Source organism: Homo sapiens, chromosome 20, assembly GCF_000001405.40.
Source record: "Homo sapiens chromosome 20, GRCh38.p14 Primary Assembly".
Classification (NCBI taxonomy): Eukaryota; Metazoa; Chordata; class Mammalia; order Primates; family Hominidae; genus Homo; species Homo sapiens.
Window position 1 is genome coordinate 7,775,779 of NC_000020.11, and position 25,408 is coordinate 7,801,186.

The 25,408-nt window shown below is 36.9% G+C and overlaps 1 annotated feature.

The window, feature by feature from the left end:
- Positions 489–672: a silencer, noted in NCBI's record as "fragment chr20:7756914-7757097 (GRCh37/hg19 assembly coordinates)". NCBI's record gives its function as "represses an EF-1alpha promoter that drives an FKBP-Casp9 reporter gene in an ReSE screen in HepG2 liver carcinoma cells {active_cell/tissue: HepG2}" and the evidence as "EXISTENCE:reporter gene assay evidence [ECO:0000049][PMID:32094911]".

Sequence of the window (25,408 nt, forward strand, 5' to 3'; positions counted from 1 at the left end):
CAACTGTGCAATTTTGAAGACTGTACAGAAAGCATGACCATGTGTTGTCTTCAGTTTTTAAATAAGATCAATTATGTATAGACGTATCTAGCATGAGCTTTAGAATGTATCAATTTTTAAAATCCAAATATGATTGGTTCATTATTCCATCCATTTGCCCATTAGTCAAATTTTGTTAAAAATCATTCACAAAATAACTTTTCTTTTATTGTGGAACTTTGTGGAACTTTGAACTTGAGAGAGATGACTTAGAGTATCCGGCAGAAGAAATCTTTAAGCAGCAAAGCATTCAAGAGGTAACATGGGTGCTGATAAAGGGATTCAGTTTTATAAGGGAAGCAGAGCACAAAAGTTCAGAAAATTTGCAGCCTGATAATGCAGTAGAAAAGCAAATGCCATTTTCTGAGGAGAAATCGAAGCCAGCTGCATAAATTTGCATAAATAATGAAGAACAGAACACTAATCACCAAGACAATGGGGAAAATGCCTCCAGAGCATGTGAGGGTAGCCCTCCCATCACATGCCCGGAGGCCTAGGAGGAAAAAATGTTTTCATGGGCCAGGCCCAAGGTCCCTCTGCTGTGTGCAGTCTATGGACTTGATGCCCTGTGTCCCAGCTGCTCCAGCCATGACTAAAAGGGGCCAAGGTATAGCTCAGGCCATGGTTTCAGGGGTGCAAGCCACAAGCCTTGGCAGCTTCCACATGGTGATAAGCCTGTGGGTTCACAGAAATCAATAATTGAGGTTTGGGAACCTCCACCTAGATTTCAGAGGATGTATGTAAACACCTGGATGTCCAGGCAGCAGTTAGCTGTAGGGGCAAGGCACTCATCATGAAGAATCTCTGCTAGGGCAGTGTGGAAGGAAAATGTGGAATGGTGCCTCCACAGAGAGTCCCCATTGATGCACTGCTGAGTGGAGCTGTGAGACAAGGGCCACCGTCCTCCAGACCCTGGAATGGTAGATCCACCAACAGCTTGCACTATACAACTGGAAAAGCTGCAGACACTGAATGCCAGTCCGTGAAAGCAGCTGGGAGGGAGGCTGTATCCTTCAAAGCCACAGGGGTGGAGCTACCCAAGACCATGGGAACCCCCTCTTGCATCAGCATGACCTGGATATGAGACATGGAATCAAAGATGATCATTTTGGAGGTTTAAGATTTGACTGCCCCAGTGGATTTTGGACTTGTATGGGGCCTGTAGCCCCTTTGTTTTGGTCAGTTTCTCCCATTTTGAATAGGTGTATTTATTCAATGCCTGTACCCCCATTGTATCTAGGAAGTAACTAACTTGCTCTTAATTATACTAGCTCATAGGCAGAAAGGACTTGTCTTGTCTCAGATGAGACTTTGGACTGTGGACTTTTGAGTTAATGCTTAAAAGACTTAAGACTTTGGGGGACTGTTGGAAAGGCATTATTGGTTTTGAAATGTGAGGTCATGAGATTTGGGAGGGACCAGGGGTGAAATGATATGGTTTGGCTGTGTCCCACCCAAATCTCGTCTTGAATTGTAGCTCCCACAATTCCTATGTATTGTGGGAGAGACCCGGTGGGAGGTAATTGAATCACAATCACAGGGGCAGGTCTTTCCCATGCTGTTCTCATGATAGTGAATAAGTCTCATGAGATCTGATGGTTTTATAAAGGGGAATTTCCCTGTACAACCTTTCTCTTCTCTTGTGTCCTGCCATGTGAGACGTGCCTTTCACCTTCCACCATAATTGTGAGGCCTCCCTAGCCAGCCATGTGGAACTGTGAGTCCATTAAACCTCTTTCTTTTATACATTACCTAGTCTGGGATATGTCTTTATCAGCAGCATGAAAATGGACTAATACATTTACCTAGGCATAATTTTCTAATTGCCAAAATTAGTGACATTAAAAATGGAAAGGTTTCCTTTGTTAATGGTTGAAAGAGTTAATACCATTAGGATGGCAATATTACCCATAGCAATCTATAGATTCAACTCAATGCGATTTCTCTCAAATTTCTAATAAGCTTTTTGTTTTTTGCATAAATGTAAAAGTCAATCTTCAGATTTATATAGAATTTCTAGGGGCACAAAATAGCTAGAACAACATTGAAAAAGTTTGTAAGAACTTTTTTCTTGCAAAGTTGGAAGATTTATGCTTCTCAATTTTAAAATATTACATTTCCCAAGTGTAAAATTTAATTCTCAAATTTACATGGAATTTCTAAGGCCCCCAAAAAACTAAAACAATGTTTAAAAGTTTGTAAGAACTTTGTTCCTACAAAGTTGGAAGATATATGCTTCCCAATTGTAAAACATTCTATAAAACTCCAGTAGCCTAAACATTGAATTGTTCTACTGGCATAAAGATCGATATTTAGACAAGTGGAATAGAATTGACAGTTCAGAAATAAATCTGTGCATTTATAGCTAATTGAATTCTGACAAGGGTGACAAGACCGTTCAATGGGGAGAAAAAGTCTCTTCCACAAATGATGATGAGACAACTGGGTATCCACAAAAACTAAAACAAAAAATTGGACCCCTACTTCGCGTTATATATAAAATTTAACTCAGAATGTATCAGGGACCTAAATGTAATTCTTAGAAGAAATCCTACAGGTAAGTGTTCATGACCTTGAATTTGGGGATGAGTTCCTACATGTGACACCAAATCTACAAGAAACAAAAGATAAACCAGACTTCAAAGTTAAACTTTTGTATGGCCAAGAACATTATCTAGACATGAAAAGGCAACCTATGAAATGAAAGAAAATATTTTTAAATCACAAATCTTATAAGGGTCTACTATCCAGGATATATAAAGAACTAAACTGCAGCAAGACACACAATCTAATTAAAAAATGAGCAATGTACTTGAATAGATATTTCTCCAGTGGCCAACAAGCACATTAAAAGATCCACAACATCATTACTCATTAGGTAATGCAAACCACAACCAAAATGAATTACCGTTTCACACCCACTAGGATGGCCACAGTTTTTAAAAAAAACAGGAAAAATAACAAATGTTAGCAGTGATATGGAGAAATTAAAATCCTCCTACATTGCTGGAGGAAATGTAAAATGGAGCAGCCACTGTGGAAAATAGTTTGACTTTTCCTCAAAAGGTTACACATAGGATTTTCATATGACCTACCAACTTCACTTCTAAGTATATAATACAGTTTGGATGTGTGTCCCCACCCAAATCTCATAATGAAATGTAATCCCCAGTGTTGGAGGTGAGGCCTGGTGGGAGGTAATTGGATCACGGAAGCAGAATTTTCATGACTGGTTTAGCACTAACCTCCTTGGTACTGTCTTCGTGATAGTGAGTGAGTTCTCCTGAGATCTCGTCATTTAAATGTGTGTAGTCCCTCCTGCCGCCACTCTCTTGCTCCTGCTCTGGCCATGTGTCATGCTTGCTCCTCCTTCACCTTCTATCGTAATTGTGTTTCCTGAGCCTTCCCCAGAAGTCAAGTAGATGCCAGCATCATGCCTCCTGTATCATGCCTGCAGAACTATGAGCAACTTAAACCTCTTTTCTTTATAAATTACCTAGTTTCAGGTATTTCTTTATAGCAATGTGAGAATGGACTAATACAAAAAATTGGTACTAGGATTAGGGTATTGTTATAAAGATGCTTGAAAATATGGAGGCAACTTTGGAACTGGGTAAAGGGCAGAGGTTGGAAACCTCTTTTTATTGTAATTTACCCAGTCTCAGGTATTTCTTTATAGCAATGCAAGAATAGACCAATATAGTATACATCCAAAAGAAATGAAAACTAGTCCTCTAATAAATATATGTACATGCATGTTAATAGCAGCACTATTCACATTGCCCAAGCGGTGGAAACATTCCCAATGTCCATCAAGGGATGATAGATAAACAAATTGTGGTATGTACATACAATGGAATATTATTCAGCAGAAAAAGAATAAATTATTGACAAATGCTATAAATGTGGCAAAACCTTAAAAACATTACGCTAAGTGAAAGAAGCCAGTCACAGAATGATTGTATGATTCCAATTACATGAAAAATTCAGAATCAGTAAATCCATAAGAACTGAATGCAGATTGGTGGTTTCCAGGGGTAGAAGAGTGATGGGAATAGGAAGCAACTGCTTAGTGAATACAAGCTTTTCTTTTGGGATGATGAAATGTTTTGAAACTAGATAAAGGTGGTGATTATATAACATTGTGAATGCACCAAATACCCTTGCATTATTAACTTTAAAATGATTTTTTTTTAAGACAGAGTCTCACTCTGTCACCCAGGCTGGAGTGCATTGGTGCAATCTCAGCTCACTGCAACCTCCACCTCCCGGACTCAAGTGATTCTGGTGCCTCAGCCTCTGGAGTAGCTGAGATTACAGGTATGCGCCACTACACCAGGCTACTTCTTGTGTTTTTAGTAGAGACAGGGTTTCACCACGTTGGCCAGGCTGGTCTTGAACTCCTGGCCTCAAGTGATTCATCTGCCTTGGTCTCCCGAAGTTCTGGGATTACAGGCACTAGCCACTGTGCCCAAAAATGAATTTTATGTTAGGTGTATTTCACCTTAACTGTAAAAAAAGTGGCATTGTTTTACAAACATAAATCTTACTATCATAGAGAAGACTGAATACTAGAATAATTGAGGAACCCAAGTAACCTCCTTGAATTTCTTATAAACAAAGCAATAATTTCAAAATTAAAAAAATTTCAATGATAAATATTTTGCTCCTCTGTTCTTTTTTGTTTATCTTTCCTGCAACATGCCTTTGAATCTTAAAGACTATGAAATATCATGGACAGAAAAAATTAAAATCAAGATTGCCCATGTCAAATTTTTACCTAATATGTGTTTCACTTTATAGAACAGTATTTTATATATGAGGAAATAACCCAAAAGCACATATCATTTGCCAATTTGAATATCTCATGTTCTGTTGAAACAATGGCTTCCTGAAAAGAGTTGATTGGATATGATAATTTAAGTAATACTTATTTTCATTAAACTTTTTGAGGTCATTACAGACTCACATGCAATAGTAAAAAATAATACAGAGTGATATTATGTACTATTTGCTTGGTTTTCCCCAACATTAACATCTTGCAAAACTATATAGTGCAATTTCACAAATAGGATATTGACATCGGTACAGTCAAAATATAAAACATTTTCATCACCACATGGTACCTACTTGCTTTTTAATGACTATATCCACTTTACTCCTACCCCCCACCTCTATAACCCATGGCAACTACTAACCCATTCTCCATTTCTATAGTTTTTTTCATTTCAAGAAAGTATATAAATTGAATAATATGCTACATAACGTTTTGGGGTTGACTTTTTAAGTCTGCATAATTTTCTGTAGATTCATCCAGGCAGTTGCATATATGGATAATATGTATGTTTTTGATTGCTGAGGGATATTTCATGATAAGGATGTATTACAGTTTAACCATTCACACATCTGGATTGCTTCCCATTTGGGTTACTATGAAAAAAACTTCTATAAATATTTGAGTACAGGTTTTTGTTTATGCATTTTTATCTCTCTGGTATAAATGCCTAGGGATACAATTTATGTGTTATATGATAGTTACATGTTTGGTACTATAAGAAACTGCCAAACTATTTTCCAGAGTGGCTGTCCTATTCCACATTCCAATCAGCAATGTTGAGTCATCCTGCATTTTATATTATTGCTATTTAAAATTTTAGCTAATTTAATTGGTGTTTAGTGACAACTAATTGTGGTTTTAGTTTGCATTTCTCTGATGGTTCATGATTATGAACATCTTTTTATTTATTTGCATATGAAAAGTTTATCTTCTTTGGTGAAATGTCCCCTTATATATTTTGCCTATGTTTTAGTAGGAATTTTTGCTTTTATATTGAGATTTTGAATTCTTTATATATTCTAGATACTAGTCCTTTGTTCAATATGTGGCTTAAAAATGTTTTCTCCCAGTCTGTAACTTTCCCTTTTATTCTGTTTGCAAGATCCTTCATAGAGCAAATATTTTAATTTTTGATTAAGTTCAGTGTATTACTTTTTCCTTTACTGCATCCTACTTTTGGTGACAAGCTTAAGAAATTTCCAGCCCTAAATCCTGAAGATTTTGTTTAAAAAAAAGTTTTATAATTTTCTGATTTACATTTAAGTCTACAATTCAGCCGGACATGGTGGATCATGCCTGTAATCCCAGCACGTAGGGAGGCCAAGGCAGGAGGATTGCTTGAGCCCAGGAGTTTGAGACCAGCCTGGGCAACATGGCCAAACCCCATCCCTACAAAAAAATACAAAAATTAGATGGCATGGTTGTGTATCCCTGTAGTCCCAGCTAGGGAGGCTGGGGTGGGAGGATTGCTTGAGCACAGAAGGTCAAGGCTGCAGTAAGCCGTGAGTGTGCCAATGCACTCCAGCCTGGGTGACCAGAGCAAAACCATTTAAAAAAAATGTCTATGATCCATTTTGAGTTAATTTTGTACAAGGTGCAACACTTGGGTCAAGGTCTTTTTTTTTTCTTCCTTTGGCCTTTGGATGTCTGATCGCTCCAACCTTATCTTTCCTCCTTTCAGTTACTTTTGCACCTTTGTCACATGTGCCTACTGCGTATTTATGTAGGCCTATTTCTGGATTCCTTTGTGTTCCATTGATTCATATTCCATCCTTCAAATACTACACAGTTTTGACTACTGTAACTATATAATAAGTCTTGAAATCAGATATACTGATTCTTCCTACTTTGTTTTTATTTTTCAAAATTGTTTTAGCTATTCTACATCTTTTACATTTCCATATCAATTTTAGAATAATCTTGTCTCTAGCTAGAAAAAAACTTTCTGGAAATCAGATAAGTATTGCATGAACCCTGCATATCAGTTTGGAGAGAATTTATGTCTATATTATGTTGCGTATTCCCACTAGTGAACATAGTATGCCCTCTTGACCATTTATTTAGATCTTCTTCTACTTCCTTCATAAGAGTTATGTAATTTTTAGCACACAAGTCCTGTACTTACTTTCTTAGATTACACTAAATAGCTTTCTTTTTCTTTTTGGGTGATTGTAAGTGCTATTGTATTTTTTTATTTCACTGTCAGTGTTCATTACTAATATACAGAAATATAATTCATTTTATATGCATTTCTTCTATCTGGTAAACTTGCTTTATTTGGTTATTAGCTCTAATAATATTTTGGAAATTCCTTGCAGTTTTTTTTTGTTTTTTTTTGTTTTTGCTTTTTTTGTTTGTTTGTTTGTTTTTTGAGATAGAGTCTCATTCTGTCACCCAGGCTGCAGTGCAGTGGCATGACCTCGGCTCACTGCAACCTCTGCCTCCCAGGTTCAAGTGATTCTCATGTCTCAGCCTCCTGAGTAGCTGGGATTACAGTTGTGCACCTCCACAACCAGCTAATTTCTGTATTTTTAGTAGAGATGGGATTTTGCCATGTTGGCCAAGCTGGTCTCAAACTCCTGGCCTCATGTCAATCGCCCACCTCAGCCTCCCAAGGTGCTGGGATTACAGGCATGAGCCACTGCACCTGGGCACCTCCTTGGGATTTTCTACATAGACAGTCAAACTGAAGCCAACTGCAAAAAGGGATATGTTTAACTCTTCCTTTCCAATTAGGATGCTTTTTACTGTCTCTTATCTTATTGCACTGGCTAGAACTTTCAGCACTATTTTGAAAAAGAGTGGTGAGAGAAGACATCCTTGCCTTTTTCTTGGAAGTTGAAAAGAAGCATACAATTTTTCATCTTTAAGTAAAACGTTAGTGATAGTTTTTTTAATATATGTCCTTTATCAAATTGAGAAAGTTCCCTTCTATTTCTGTTTTTCTGAGTTTTTCTTATAAACAAATATTGAATTCATCTGTTGATATGGTAGATAAATTGATTTCCAAATATTGAAACAGTCTTGCATCCATGGAATATACTCCACTTGGTCATGGTGTGTAGTTCCTTTTATATAGTGATAAATTCTATTTGCTAATGATTTGTTAAGGATTTTAGCGTCTCTATTCAGAAAGAAAATTGGTCTATAGTTTCCTGTTCTTAATCTTTCTTTGATATTTATATTATAGTAAGACTAGTTTCATAAAGAGAACTGAAAATTGTTCTCTTATCTTCTATTTTCTGGAAAAGAATGTGTAGAATTGGTGCTAATTTAGCAAAATTCTCCATTGAAAGCATTCAGGCCTGAAGCATTCTCTTTGGGGTGTTTTAAATTACATATAATTTTCTGAATAATTATAGGACGATTCAAATTATCAATTTCATATTGGGTGAGTTGTGGTAGTTTGTGTATCTTGGGGAATTGATCCATTTTATCTGATTATCAAATGTATGTGTGTAAAATTGTTCCCTTATTATGCTTTTGATATTTGCAGCGACTGTAGTAATATCCTCTCTTTTTTACCTGATATTAGTGATTCATATCTTCTTTTTTTCTTGTTGTCTTGTGAAAAAATGTCTATTTTATTGATCTTTTCAAACACCAGCTCTTTGTTTTATTGATTTGCTCATTATTTCTTTGTTTCTCTGTTTAGAGTTTATTGATTTCTGCTCATGGCTTGATTATTTACTTCCCTCTGATTGATTTGGGTTTATTCTGCTCTTCTTTTTTCAAGTTCTTGTGATGAAAGTATGATTGATGTGAAAATTTTCTTCTTTTCTAATGTATGAATTTAGTTTTACAAATTTCCCTCTCAGCACTACTTTAGCTGTGGTGCACAATTTTTGATAGACTGTATTGTAATTTTCATTCCATTAAATATATTTTTTATTTCCCTTGAAACTTTCTCTTCGATTATGGATTATTTTTTGAAGTACTTTTTTTTCTTTCAAGTCATCCTTCTGTTATCAATTTCTAGTTTGATTCCATTTTGATTGAAGAACCCTATGATCTAAATTCTTTAAAATTTGTTGAGGCTTGTTTTTTGGCCCAGTGTCTCTTGCTACATACTCTGTGAGCATTTGAAAGGAATGGGTGGGTATTCTGATAATGTTGGTGGAGTAGTCTATAAATGTCAATTTGATATTGAGTAGTTGATGACGTTCTTGAGTTCTTCTCTATTGTTACTGATTTTTGTAAAGTTGTTATATCAATTCTTGAGATGGAGGTGTTGAAGGCTCCAACTGTAATTGTAAGTTTGTCTGCTTCTTTCCCTTCCAGCTGTTTTTATTTCACTCGTTTAGTGCTTTACTTTTACTTGTTTAGTGCATCATATTTAAGATTGCTCTGCCATCTTGGTAGATTGGCACTTTTATCATATATAATGTTCCTCTCTGTCTCTGGTACTATCTTATGCTCTAAAACCTGCTTCATTTGATATTGATAAAACTATTCTTGGTATCTGGTATCTACCCAAAGGAAAAGAAGTCATTATTTGAAAAAGATACTTGCACACTCATGTTTATAGCAGCACAATTCACAATTGCAAAATCATGGAACCAACCCAAATGCCCATCAATCAACGAGTGGATAAAGAAATCGTGATATTGATATTGATATATATATATATATATATATATATATATATATATATATATATCGGAAGCGGAGCTTGCAGTGAGCCGAGATCGCGCCACTGCACTCCAGCCTGGGCAACAGAGAGACTCCGTCTCAAAAATAAATAAATAAATAAAATGAAATAAAAATGAAAACATAATGCCAATTACATTATCACTCAAAAAATGATATACATTGGGAAGAATCTAAAAATATGTACAATATCTAAATGAAATAAATCAAAGATGAAATAAATCAAAGAACTATATACACATATATATATACACACACACACATATGTATACATATATACATATATACACATATATATATATACACATATGATGGAATACTACTCAGCCATAAAAAGGAATGAATTAACAGCATTTGCAGTGACCTGGATGAGACTGGAATGGAAAACTAAACATCATATGTTCTCACTGATATGCAAGAGCTAAGCTATGAGGCTGCAAAATCATAAAAAATGATATGGTTGACTTTGGGGAATTGAGGGGAAGAGTGGGAGGGCTGTGAGGATAAAATACTACATATATGGTGCAGTGTATACTGCTTGGGTGATGGGTGCACTAAAATCTCATAAAATCACCACTAAAGAACTTACTCATGTAACCAAATACGACTCACGGAAAAATAAAATAAAATAATAAACATTTAAAAAAAGAAGTGAATCAAAGAAGCAACAAGGGAAAGTAAAATAAAAACTTTTATTTTCCTTGTTTTGAATTGATCTAACCAATTTGTTCAAAATAATAATAGCAGCAATGTATTTACTTATGTGTGCTCATTTGTGTTTGTGTATATACACATATATGACTATGTACAAGTGAAATGAATGGCAGCAATTATGTAAGAGACAGAAGAGTGGAATTAGGATTATTTTTTTATTGTGAGGTACTTTTACTACACGTGAAGTGGTATAGTGTTTTTTGAAACTGTCCTTGTATTAGTTGTAAATGTATATGACAATCACTAGTATTGTGACTGATATCCTATGAATGGAGATAGAATGAAATCTTATAAAATGGTAAATTTAAACTGTAAAAGGCAGGAAAAGAGTAAGCAACAAAAAATAAAACAAATAGCAAAGACAATGAATAGAAAACTGACATATATGATAGATACTAATCCACCTACAAATAATCACTTTAAAAGTTAATGTTCTACATGGACACAGGAAGGGGAACATCACACACTGGGGCCTGTTGTCAGGTGGGGGGAGAGGGGAGGGATAGCATTTGGAGATATACCTAATGTTAAATGACGAGTTACTGGGTGCAGCACACCAACATGGCATATGTATACATATGTAACTAACCTGCACGTTGTACACAGGTACTGTAAAAAAGTATAATAATAAAAAAAAGTTAATGTTCTAAATCGACCAATTAAAATAGAAAGATTGTCAAAATAAATCAAAACCAAGATTCAACCATATATAATCTACAAAGAACCCACATTAAGAATACAAACAAATACAGGTTAAAAGTAAATGGATGGAGACAGCCATATCATGCTAACACTAATTGAAGGATTAATATGCTACAGGTTCTAACGATAAATTCTAAAAAGAAAAAAAAATACAGCTAATAAACAAAAAGAAATACTAAACCTTGCATATGACCTGATCATCTATGTAGAAATCCAAAAGAATCAACGAAAAATGTCCTTGAACTAATAAACAACTATAGCAAGGTTGCAGGATGCAAGGTTAATATAAAAAATAAGGCCTGGCACGGAGGCTCACACCTGTAATCCCAGCACTTTGGGAGGCCGAGGCGGGCGGATCACGAGGTCAGGAGATCAGACCATCCTGGCTAACACGGTGAAACTCTGTCTCTACTAAAAATACAAAAATTAGCCAGGCGTGGTGGCGGGTGCCTGTAGTCTCAGCTACTCTGGAGGCTGAGGCAGGAGAATGCCATGAACTTGGGAGGTGGAGCTTGCAGTGAGCCGAGATCGTGCCACTGCACTCCAGCCTGGGCGACAGAGTGAGACTCCGTCTCAAAAATAAATAAATAAATAAATAAAATAAAATAAAAATGAAAACATAACTCCAATTACATTATCACTGAAAAAATGATATACATTGGGAAGAATCTAAAAATATGTACAATATCTAAATGGAATAAATCAAAGATGAAATAAATCAAAGAAGAACTATATAAATGAAGAGATTTGAAGAGATACTACATTTTCATGGATAGAAATATTCAACATTGTCAAGATATCAGTTCTTCCCATTTTGATCTACAGATCCTTTTCAATCTCAATAAAAATTTCAGCAAGTTATTTGGTGGATATCGACAAACTGATTCTAAAGTTTACATGAAGAGGCTAAAGACTCAGAATAGCTAACACATCACTGAAGCTGGTGGACAAACTATTGTAAGTCCAAACTTACAACACAGCTTCAATAATCAAGACAGTGTGATATTGGTGAAAAATAGATGAATAGATAAATGGAACAGAACAGATAACCCAAAACTGACCCATGTAAATATAGTCAACTTTGGGAGGCTGCAGCAGGCGGATCACGAGGTTAGGAGATCCAAACCATCCTGGCTAACACGGTGAAACCCCGTCTCTACTAAAAATACAAAAAAAAAAAAAAAAAAAAATAGCCGGGCGTGGTGGTGGGTGCCTGTAGTCCCAGCTACTCGGGAGGCTAAGGCAGGAAAATGGCGTGAACCCAGGAGGCGGAGCTTGCAGTGAGCCGAGATTGCGCCACTGCACTCCAGCCTGGGCGATGGAGGGAGACTCTGTCTCAAAAAAATATATATATATATATATGTATATATATATGTATGTATGTGTGTGTATATATGTATGTATATATAGGTATGTGTATATATATGTATGTGTGTATATATATGTATGTGTGTATATATATATATAGTCAACTGATCTTTGACAAAGAAGTAAAGATGGTAGAGTGGAGCAAAGACAGCCTTTTCAACAAATAGTGCTGGAACAACTAGACAGTCACATGCAAAAAGAAAAAAAGAATTTAGACATAGACCTTACACCCTTCACAAAGGTAACACCAAATGAATTATAGGCACCTAAGTGTAAAATGAAAAAGTATAAGTCTCTTAAAGAATAACATAGGAGAAAACCTAGATGATCTTAGGTATAACAATTTTTTAGACAGGATGCCAAATCACAATCTATGAAACAAAGAATTGACAAGCTACACTTCATTAAATTTAGAAACTTCTGCTTTGTAAAAGATGCTGTCAAGAGAATTAGAAGACAAGACACAGACTGGGAGAAAAATAGCTTCAAAAGACATACCAGATAAATGACACTTAAACAAAATATACAAAGAACGTTTAAAGCCCAGTAATCAGAAAACTAATGACCCTGATGTAAAAATGGACAAAGGACGCAAACAAACACCTCACCAAATAAGATATACAAATGGAAAATAACCATATGAACAGGTGCTCAAAATCATGTCGTTAGAGAATTTCAAATTAAAACATCAATTGGATGTCATTACACACCTATTAGAATAGTCAAAACACTGACTATACCAAATGTTGGTATGGATGGGGAGCAACAGGAACTTTCATTCATTGCTGGTGGGAATGGTACAGCCACTATAGAAAATAATTTGGCAGTTTCTTACAAAACTAAACATACCCTTATCATATGATCCAGCAATTGCACTCCTTGGTATTCATCCAAATGAGTTAAAAACTATATCTGCCCAAATACTTGCACATGAATATTTATAGCAGTTTTATTTATTCATATAATTGCCAAAAATTGGAAGCAACCAACATGTCCTTCTGCAAATGAATGGATAAACAAACCTTGGTACATTCAGACAATAGAATATGATTCAGCACTAACTAGAAGTGAACTACGAAGCCATAAAAAGACATGGAGGAAACATAAATGCATATTACTAAGTGAAAGAAGCCAGCCTAAAAAGGCTATATATTGTATAATTCCAACTGCATGAAATCCTGCAAAAGTCAAAACTATGGAGACAGTGAAAGAATCAGCCAGGAGCTGGGTGGAGGAGGCAGGGATCATTTCATAGAGCAGAGAAGATCTTTAGCTCAGTGAAACTACTCTGTATAATACTATAATGGGGAACGTAAGCCATTATACATTGGTCAAAACTCATAAAATATAAAACACTAAGAGTGAACCCTAATGTAAACAATGGACTTTGGGTGATAATGATATATCAGTATAGGTTCATCTAGTATAACAAATGTACCACTTGGATGTGGAATTTTTGTAGTGGGAGAGCCTGTGCATGTGTGGGAGTAGGGGGTATATGGGAAATCTTTCTACTTTCTGCTCAATTTTGCTGTGAACCTAAAATGTCTCTAAAAAAAAAAAGTCAAATTTAAAAACAAAGAAACAGGCAACTTAGACTAAGATGACCTCTTCAGGAAACAATTCAACCCTTAAAAAAAATAAAGTTCCACTGGATGAGACAAATGTGGTTAGGTGTGTATCTCATGTCTTTCAGCTGGCCCCCCAAATCCTCATCCAATTTGGGCTTGCTGATGCTGGGTGGGAAATGAATTTTACGTTGACTGTATGGCTGGATATTATGACTTGAAGTCCAAGTTTCCATGAGCTATCATGGAAGGGTTAGCCTGCTGAACTGAATGATTCAGTTAATCCTAAACCTCACATGAAGCATTAATTGCAGCCACCTCTGCCTCTCCCAAGTGTTTTGCCAAAACTAATAACAAATCAAAAGGATTCTGCTGCTTTCCTGGTGAGGTACTAGGGAACCTGGATATCAATGACCATAATTTCTGAAGGTCTGCTTATGTCCAGCTTCTAAGAGAGATGCAATAACAACTAACATTTGTTGGACAATTCATATGTGTCAGATATTGAGCTAAGTAGTTTACCCCATTATATAATTCCCTAGCAACACTGTGAACTTCATATTAATATTCCTATTTTACAGATGAAGAAACTGAAGTTCAGAGTACTTGCATATTTTTCGCCAGGTTACACTGTCTGATATTAGTGGTTTCTAATTTCAAAACCCATACTCCAGATATGATGCACTGAGACGGACTTGGCATCTTTTCTGTGGTCTGGCCAGGAATGCACAGTCTGAATCTGGTTAGGAGGAAGTGGCATGCCTGAATCAAGGGCACTTGGCAAGGTTACCATTCTGTGCTCTCCAGAGATGCTGAGGACATGAGAGGCCAGGAAGGGCCTGAAAGAGTTTCAGATGAATTGTCACCAGAAAGACATGATAGTGTAAGATCTTGAATTGGATCCTGGGCCAGAAAAATAGCACTGGGGACAATTGGCAAGACCTGAAGAGATCTGTAGATTAGATGATATTACTGTACACATGTTCATTTCCCAGCTTCCCAGCTTTTTTTTTTTTTTTTATAGACAGAATCTCTGTCACCCAGCCTGGAGTGCAGTGGCACAATCTCAGCTCACTGCAACCTCCGCCTCCCAGGGTCAAGCAATTCTCCTGCCTCAGCCTCCCAAGTAGCTGGGATTACAGGCATCTGCCACGATGCCTGGCTAAGTTTCGTATTTTTCGTAGAGACGGGGTTTCACCATGTTGGCCAGGCTGGTATCGAACTCCTGACCACAAGTGATCCGTCAGCCTCAGCCTCCCAATGTGCTGGGATTACAGGCATGAGCCACCAGGCCCAGCCCATTTCCCAGCTTTTGATAATTGTACTGTAGTTGAATAAGACAATGTTCTTGTTTTTAGGAAACATACATGGAAGAGTTTAGAAATAAGAGAAAATCATGTTATAAGTTATTCTCAAATATTTCAGGAAATAAACCCATCTATAAACACACACACATACACACATATAAGGGCATTTCCTCTATTGCCCCTGTCTTTGAAAGATCTTAAAACAAAGGGAGCAACACCAATTTAGTCTCCAAGTTACAGTTCTTTTTTTTTTAATTTACTTTTTTCAACAATTATTTTAGGTTCAGGGGGACACATGTGCAGGTTGGCTACATGAGTAAATTGCATGTTGCCAAGGTTTGGTGTATGAATGATCTTGTCACTCAGTAGTGAGCATGGTACCTGATAGGTAGTTTTTCAATCTTTCCCCTGCCCCACCCTCCCCCAACTCAAGTAATCCTGACTATGTATTGTTCCCATCTTTGTGTCTATGTATATTCAATGTTTAGCTCCCACTTATAAGTGAGAACATGCGGTATTTGGGTTTCTGTTGCTGTGTTAATTCTCTTAGGATAATGGCCTCCAGCTGCATCCATGTTGCTGCAAAAGACATGATCTTGCCTAAATGTACCAAATAAGAAATGCAGAATTAGGAAAGTCATTCTAAAAGCAAGAGAAATGATCCACTTTGCATAATTTTGTTTAATATTTATTCTGTGTCTTCCCAGTATTATATTAGAAACCTAAAAAGATCCAAATTCAGAACTCCTACTCCTAAGGGATATACATAGTATTTCAATTTTAATTGAATATGCGCTGAATTACAGGGGATGAGTCTATAAATCTCAAATTGAATTACCTTGTTGTAAAAGACTAAAATAAGAAAATAGCAAAAAAATCTAACTTGGCCAACTTTTTCATAAGTAAATATTTTAAAACTAAAGTTTTAAACTTTAGTTTAATTTAAAGTTGATTAAATCCTTAACACTTTACTAATGAATGCTTACAGTGTTGTCATTAAGGCCAATTATTTGAGACAACTGACATAGGACAACAAGCACCATCATATTCAAGCTAGGACCATCCAATGTGCCACAGCCTCCTCTAATATATATTAGAAGCCCAGATATATGAAACTTGATGGAAACTTATTGAATAAACAAAGGTTGAAACAGATGCAATCTCATCAGGGCATCAAAACAGGCATGAGTTTTAATGTTTCTGATCATGGAAAGTCAACTTGCATTCATTGCATTCCAGTACCAGACAATTCTTATTTTCAGCCCCTTGAAGTCATCCTCGGGTAAATAATGTGGGACAATGCATTTTCCAATATTACTTCATAGGTCAAGCTTAATTACGCAGAAACAACTTTCTCGAACAGCACCAGTCCCCCAACACTTAGCTCCACAGCTGTCTGGTGACAGGATGACTACATGGCCTTGGTATAACTCGTTACCCAAGACAATACTACATTCATTTTGATCCTGAATGAAAGACCTCCATTCCAGGTGCAAATGTTGCCACTACTATCTTATAGAATGGAATATAAAACAATTCTATTTTAAATATTTCTGCTGTTTCTGCAATCCCTTTTCTTGATTCAGCAGGCATGACTGGACTGAGGTTTCATCAATCATCTGTCAGCAGGACTGTGAGAATGTGGCTAGCAAGGCTGCTTGCAAAGGAGACCATTAAGAAATCACTCCAGCAGGTCTAGTTTTTCTATCTTTATGTAAGTAATATTTGCCATCACCTGGCATTTCAGATTAAAAGTGTTATGTGACTCCCCTGGTGCTGGAAGGAGGTTTGGAAGCAACTGTGTAGATCCTGTTAGTCATGTGTTTCTATGGTTATTTATAAATATTATGGCCAACCTTAGTCAATATATGATGATTACAAATTATTATTTTTTTAATTGCCAGGAGCTGTTTTCTTCCAGAGGTCATTTAGAAAGGCTTTCATGTTCATTTGACTCTGATGAATGTAACTTACCAGACAGAAAATATTAACAAGGCCAAGATTTTGGCAGTTAGGTTAAGATTCAGACCCAGGCTTACTGTGAAGAGTGAGAATAGAATGAATAAGAGCAAAAAGGAAGTCTTTTTTGACTATGTCTTGAACGGTGTACTTATTTACAAGCATGAGAACAGTAACTCTCAAAAGAAAAATCACCTATATTGTGGACCCAGGGTTGTCTGCTGTAACATAACTTTTCTAGGTTACACAAAACAGTAGAATTAGGAGGTTTCTTGTATTCTTACAGACTACATCATTGACAAAGACCACTATAGAAGCTCAATAAAGAATTATATTGAATAAAATGCTAACATTTTGAATGGGAAGGAAATTCAGAAAGGTTTGCTGAGAAACTCAGCTGATGCTTTATGTAAAATGTGCAGATTTAGCTTTGGACCACTGGCCAGCCTCAAGTTAGCTCAAGGCCTTAGAATAAACACATCTTGGAGCTTGAAGGCTGCTAAGTGAAGAGCTAAGTGTTGGAGAAAAAGACTTAGGAACCAAGCTTGTTTGCACCATAAACATAAGACAGAGAAAATTAATTCAGTCAAACTTGAACAATAGCAGTGAAAAGCCTCCCATATATTTTCTGCATCTATTTTTTAAAATATCCCTCTTATTGCTAAATGAAACAGATGCAACCACATTAAGTGTTAACAGCTTGAATAAGCACCTTCTATCAATACCCATAATGGCAATGACAATGCAGTGTTTTAAGATCACAATTGTTGCTTTTGCATATCAAACATTTTTTATGAATCCCTTAGGTACCTGTTTAGTGAATGTTTTGGCATTTTGGCATGTTTTCCAGGAGGCATGACACATTTTTTTTTTATTTTGTCAAGTAGGCTCTCTGCCCCAGACAATAAAAAGGGCTCAAAATACAAGAAGACAATACTTGATTTTAAATTCTTCTCTTTTGCCAGTTTAGCCCTTCTGTTGAGTCAAACTATATCTGTCTACATCTAAATCTATCCCTATTTTGCTGTCAAAGAAACTAAGGTTCAAAAAATTTATTTCAATTCTCCCAACTTGGATTTGAAAGAGCTGGACTTTGAACCCAAGTCTGCAACTTTTATTTATTTGTTTATTTATTTGATATGGAGTCTTGCTCTGTCACCCAGTCTGGAGGGCAGTGGCACGATCTCGGCTCACTGCAAGTTCCACTTCCCGGGTTCACGCCATTCTCCTGCTTCAGCCTCCAGAGTAGCTGGGACTACAGGCGCCCGCCACCACGCCCAGCTAATTTTTTGTATTTTTAGTAGAGACGAGGTTTCACCGTGTTAGCCAGGATGGTCTCAATCTCCTGAACTCGCAATCTGCCCGCCTCGACCTCTCAAAGTGCTGGGATTACAGGCGTGAGCCACCACGCGTGGCCAGTCTGCAACTTTTAAACAATGTTTTTCTATTATATAAGGAGTTAAGGATAAATTTATTACTAAAGCTATACAACTAATTATTATATTTAGTTTTAATATGTTCTTAATTTTTTAATTATAATTTAAATTATAACAATTCATTCTGTGTTTTTCATATACAGCAGTGACATGGTAAGCAAAATAAAAGTGAGTCAATTTAAAGAAGGATGCTAATCAGTAATTGTATAGATGGCAAAAAAAGCTGGAGGAAGTACACAAAGCACAAGAGTGCTTAGAAAAAACATGCTACACCTTAGGGCTTATCTGTAGATTAAAGGATAATAAATCTGTCTCCTGAAATCATTAAACATTAGAATTAAGAGTAAACAGGAGAAAAATATTTTCCAATTTCCCTGTCACCATTATTTTATAAATAAAACATTGAGGGTTGGAAGTTCATTGACTGCTCAAGTCACATGAATACTTTTGAGAAAAGCTGAGTTTAGAACTCTGTGTTGAATTCCCTGCACAGGCTAGTAGGAGGGTTATTTGACACATAGATTCAGGAGCAGAAGAGTGGACCAAAAATTTCTCTGAAAATATGCCAGCAAAACATTAGCTGTCACTACTGATCTGGAATCCATTCCATTCAGCAGGTATTACACAGATAGATGTCTTATCATGAACTAATCATATTTTTTTTCTTCAGCTAAACTCTATAATGGTTATGAATCCAGTTAAGAACTATCTTCCAATTGAGAACTATCTTCATAGTAGTCACTTCTAAAGCTATTACTCCCCATTCTGTGATCCTGCCATTATGGTCAAAAATATGCTTGCATCTTCTACCAGTTGAGGCCCAAGTCCACATATCTATCCATGTATTTGTTTGTTTTCTTGTAGCTGTTTTGGGTTTTTTTATTGAGACAGAGTCTCACATTGTCAGGTTGGAATGCAGTGGTGCAATATCGGCTCACTGCAGCCTCCACCTCCTGGTCTCAAGTGGTCCTCCCACCTCAGCCTGCCAAGTAGCTGAGACTACAGGTGTGTGCCACCATGCCAGGGTAATTTTTGTATTTTTTTGTAGAGATGAGGTTTCACCATGTTGCCCAGGCTGGTCTGAAACTCCTGAGCTCAAGCAATTCTCCTGCCTTGGCCTCCCAAAGTGCTGGGATTACAGATGTGAGCCATGATGCCCAGCCCTATTCATACATTTGAGAAAGACTTACCAAGTGCCTATTATGAACCAAGCACTGTGTAGGGGTAAAGTGCCTATCTTCTGAGAGCTTATGCTCAAATGAGGGAGACTGGCTATTCACAAATAAATCAATAAATAGATGATAATTGATTTTTATTAGTGCTACAAGAAAAATTAACAGGGAATTATGGTACAGAATGAGAGTAAGGCCGTTTTGTTGAAGCAAAACTTAAGCTGAGCGCTGATAGAAGAGACAAACCACAACAAGATCTGATCAATGAAGAAAAAAATATTCCAGGCAGAGAAGAGAGTAGAGAAACACCTTGTAGCCTAAATAAGTGGGTATGTTTTGAGACTTTAAAACAAGCCTCCTAAATATTTTCAGAAAAAGAATGGTAGCTGAAGATGAGGAGGAGAAAGATCCAGATCACGAGGGCATTTATAGGTCATAAATAGGAGCACAGTTTTTATTCTAAGAACAATGGATTTAAGCAGAGAAGTGACATAACATGAATTTAAGGTTTTAAAAGGTCCTTCTGGCTGTGATGTGGAGTATAAATTGTTGAGGCAAGAGCAGAAACAAATAACCCAATCTTTAGACGATTGCAGAAGTCTGGATAAGACATGATGATGGTTTATATAGACAGGGAGTTCTCAAGATTGAGAAAAATAGATGAGCATGAGGTATATTTTGGAGAGAGAATTGACAGGGCCTGCTGATGAATTGGATGTGGGGGATGACGGAAAGGGAGAAGTCAAGAATGACTCTCAGGCTTCTGGCTTTGGTAACTGGGTCGATGGTAGAGCTGTTTACAGAGATGGAAAAGGTGAGGAGAGCCAGGCTCGAAGGGGAAACTAAGGACTCTGTTTGGCCATACTAAGCTAGAGATGCCTATGAGACATCTAAGTAGAAGTACTAAATTGATAATTGAATGTTTAAGTCTCAGGTTTATAGGAAACACGTGGCCTGAAGACAAAATTGAACACCTGCAGCTTAGAGATGGGTTTAAGCTCTGGAAGACAATGTAGATGATCTTGGTGAAGCTGTCTCCACAGACAAGGCTTGCCATTTGCCTCCAGAGACCAAGAATTTGGATCATTGACTTCTCACCTCTTCCCACACACTTTCTCTTCTGGGTCCTTCCCCTCTACAGAGCTGTGTCTTAGCAAAATTTCCATTTGTCCCTTCAAGCTGACCAGAGAGCAGGAAAGCAGGCATACAGGTCCTTCTCATTCTGAGTGTTTTTAACAGCAGTGGAAAAATCCCAATTCAAGCAACAAGTACAACCACTAAGGGTAGTCTTTAGTAAACACTGGAAGGTTTTTTTCTTACTGTAAACGGAGCTATCCTATGACCCTTTGCTCTAAGTTTGCTTCTGATGCCTAAAGGAAAGATTCTCATTTATCCTTTGTCAATAACGTCATCACCCCGTGAGTGTTCTGAAAGTCATTTATTGGTTGAATCTACATTGACTCAGAATCCCCAAAATTTAGATCTGGAGAAGTCTCCAAAGACTAGTCCAAATTTGCATAAAAATTTTCAAGTTTCATGTTACATGAAAAATAAAAAACCTAAAATGTTTAAGGGGCTGACCAACATGGCAGCTCTATTTATACTTGCTTAAAGCTCTAGGGAGCTACGTGCAAGGTCACTCACTACGGTCACCAGAATGGCCTCTAATTGAAACTGGCCCCTTCCAGAAGTCAAAGACATATTCACAGAGATTTCACAGGAAGAAGACTTCTAAAACAACGTTTTTATCTCACTATCTACTAAGGGGTCTTGTGACTCCAACACGGCAATGCATGTCATAATGTATATAAAAGGCTTTAAAATTTTATGATGCTTTGCATAGTTGGGATCTACATTACGTTCTCCAACATTTTTCTGTTTCTTTGTAATTATTAAATCTATACGTGCTCAGCTAAGAAAGTTTGAAAATGAAGAAAATCATAAAGAAAACAAAATATATTTAATCCCAAAAGGTTTTGATAATCACAGTTTATATTTGATGTATTTCAGACTTATTCTATATATATCGGGATATGTGTGCTTCTGTGTATTTGCCTGTGGAAGTGGTACTTATATATTGTCATGTACATGTATATATGTTTTTGTGTGTGCATATATACAGTTGCCCCTCCAGGAACTTGAGCATTCACAGGAGGTCATGAAACCAATCCCACCTTGATACAAAGGGAAAATTGCATATTATATATGTGTGTATACAGATATGTATTTTCTATCATACAACTTTTCCCTTATATATATATTCTCATTGCTCAATATATATATTGAGTCAACTGTTTTTTATTTTACCATAGACAGCGTGGATGCAGCTGACTTTCTTCACCTTGTGAGTTCCTGGACAAGAAAAGTCTGTGATTTTACTTCTTCCCAAGTAAACTTCAGGAAAAGCTAAAGGTGCCCTGCCAAGTTCCCTTCAGTGGACCAATGTATCCCTCCCTCAGATGTGTCCCACAGTTTCCCTCTTCTCAAAAGAATTGCTCTTTGCTAATGCTTGGGGAGCCAAGCACACATATACACTACACATAGACATACATGCAAGGGCAGATGCATGGGTGTATTCAACCTGCCTCAAAGTGGAACCAACTCTATGGTGCAATTCATGGTCTAGTGTTCCCCATTGGATCAGGCTGAAACTAATGTCTAGCTATGATAACACTTGCTTAGCTTCTTCCCCTGCCATCTCTGACTTTTCTCACTTACCTTCTTCTAAAAGTCCTTCTTCTGATGGGACAACTGGGATATCTTCCACCATGCATCTTATTTCTTAGCAGGCTCATCTGAGCTTATTTACATGGCAACTAGGCAGGTTCCCAAGGGGAATAGTGGAATAGCACAAGATCTCTTGAGTGAGTCATAGACTTGAAAGTTCCACACTATTAATACTGCTGCATTCTATTGGTCAAAAACAATCACAAGGATGGGAGAGTGGGGAAGTGAACCCCAGCTCTTGAATGGAGAAGCTACAATGTAGCATTGCAAAGGCTCTGGATACAGAGAGGGGTAAAAAAAAAATGGAATCATTTGGTCAGGCACAGTCACAGTGGCTCACACCTGTAATCCCAGCACTTTGGGAGGCCAAGGAGGGAGGATCCCTTGAGCCCTGGAATTTGAGACCAGCCTGTGCAACATAATGAGATTCCTATCTCTACGATATTTTTTTTTTTAAAAAGAGAGACCATTTTTTTTTTACCATCAATCTATTACAAACAGGAAGCACTTTAATATGCAGAAGGAACAAGAAGACAAAATGTTTACATTCATGGCTGTAGATAAAAAAGACATGAACTCAAAGCTTAGCTTTGCCAGTTTTCAGATGTTGACCTTGGGAAAGCTACCTAAACTTCTATGACTCAATTTTCTCATCAGTAAAATGTATGGGAAAAGAGTACTCACCTGGTAGCACTGTTGAGAAAATTAAATTATGTAATCTATGTAAGGCTTTTAGCAAAATGCATTGCATGTTATAAGCTCCCAATAAGATTGGTCATGTTAACATTGTAAATAAAGATACAGAGTGTATGTTTAAGCAGGTGAGGAGTGTTCTTTGTTGTAGGATGCACTTACAGAGCACAGGTCGAAACCAGCAATCCCTCACTGGAACTAGCATTGGATGGCCATGATGATTAGTGTTTGCATCACCAAAAACCCTAAACCAAGACCGGGAAAATCTACAAACTCACCTTGGTTCATACTCCTGCCTAGAGAATGACAGAGAGTGTAGAACATACTTGCCTCAGAGGGATGAGAATCCCATCACAGTTTTGATTCTCACTCTCAAGGCTTTAAAATAAAACAATTTACTTTTCTCCTAAGAACTATCATTTTCTGCCAAATAACAGTATTACTATAAACACTTACTTTTCTAAATTTTGTATTCTAGAAATGCTAGGTGCACTAGAGATGTAAAGGGGAACTAATTGAGGTGAACAAGAAAGAACATTAGCCTGTGAGTAAAGGAAACAAGTTTCCCAGGTGTAAGCAAAAAATGTGAGAATGTTCCAGACCACCAAGAAACGATAAACATAGATATATGACAATCAGAGAAAGTGAAAGAACCTGAACTTATTTTGTAAACCAGAGGGGACAAAGGTGAAAGGGACTTAATGGCCCTGATTATATGGTTTCCAAATTTTTTCTTTTCTCCACTTGACAAAATAGTGAAAGCTCGCTTAGTCGCAGACTTTCAGAGGTTAAGCACAAGGAAAAATTTCTTAACAAGCAGGACTCACTTGACACAAGAATGAATGGCCGGTTGAGTTTGTGAAATATGCTCCAGAGATTTCTCAGAAAAGGCATGGGTCTCATGTGTCTTTGGTTTACCAGTTAGATGTAGCCTCACTGTGCAGTGGAAAAACTGGATTCACTAGTTGAAACAGAGATCTTCCAGGCTCTGATTCTGTGGTGCAGACATTGGTCCATGGACACTGGAAAAATTCAATGATGTCTCCTAAAATTGTGCCTCCCAGAAATCACATTTGGGGCCAAGATTGTGACAAGTGCCTAACATTGTCCAGACTGCAAATAAGCTCGTGGATGTTGATCTTTCCAGTGTTACATGTGAACACTACACTGGCTCACAAATCATCTTGGTGAGAATTCTCCAAGTATGAAGCATGGTGCACCTAGACTCCCTAGAAACACTTCACTGTTTAAACACTTAACTATGAAAAACTCTGGATATAAGTCTTTAACTCCCTTCTTTTGTTTGAAGAAATACACACATACACTCTCTTACATACAATACTCCAGTCAGGTTAGTTTTGGCTTTCAAATAACCATGAAACACTTCAAATGAAGATGACCGATCCCTCAAGAAAGTTTTCAGCCCATCTGTTGTCATTGCTTTGACAAAAAATCACCACATCATTTTGTTTTTCTATTTTTTGTTTCATGGCCCTCTTTATCTGTTCATTAATTCCCTGGAAATAAAGGCCTGTCTTTGACATTACAATCACACCTGACTTAGAAAGTTACACATAGCAGATGCTTTCTTTCCATTAACATACTTGCCATCATTTTATTGCTTACTTTTCACCATGTATATTATTTCTCCGGAACAAAATGTATGTAATTAGGCTTAATATGTATCAAGTATGCAGTATCTATTGATATCAGTGATGAACAAAGCAGAATGCAATAGGTTAAGAATTATCTCAAGAACAAAATACTACAACATATAACAAAAACTTGAAACTAGCAATGATATGTTTAAAATTATATTAGGCTCAAATGTTAATTCAAATTACATAACTGCCCTAACATTCATTTACTTGATAAAGACTCTAAGGACTTAATTGGCCACAAGCACAACAGTGATGAAGTTGTTAAAAATGCAAATGTTCACTCAGATTACATTAACGGAAATTTAACTTTCCTAGGCAAAAAGGAAAAATGGCTGCAATGGACTGAATGTTTTTGTCCCCACAAAATTCACATGCTGAAATCCTAATTATCAATGTGATGGTATTAGAAGGTGGGGCACTTGGGGGGTGATTATGTCATGAGGGTAGAGCCCTCATTAATGGGATGGGTGCCCTTATGAGAGAGACCCCAAAGAGCTCTCTCATTCTCTTTCCACTATGTGGGACTATAACAGGAAGTAGTCAGTTTGCAACTTGCAAGGGGGCCCTCGCCAAAA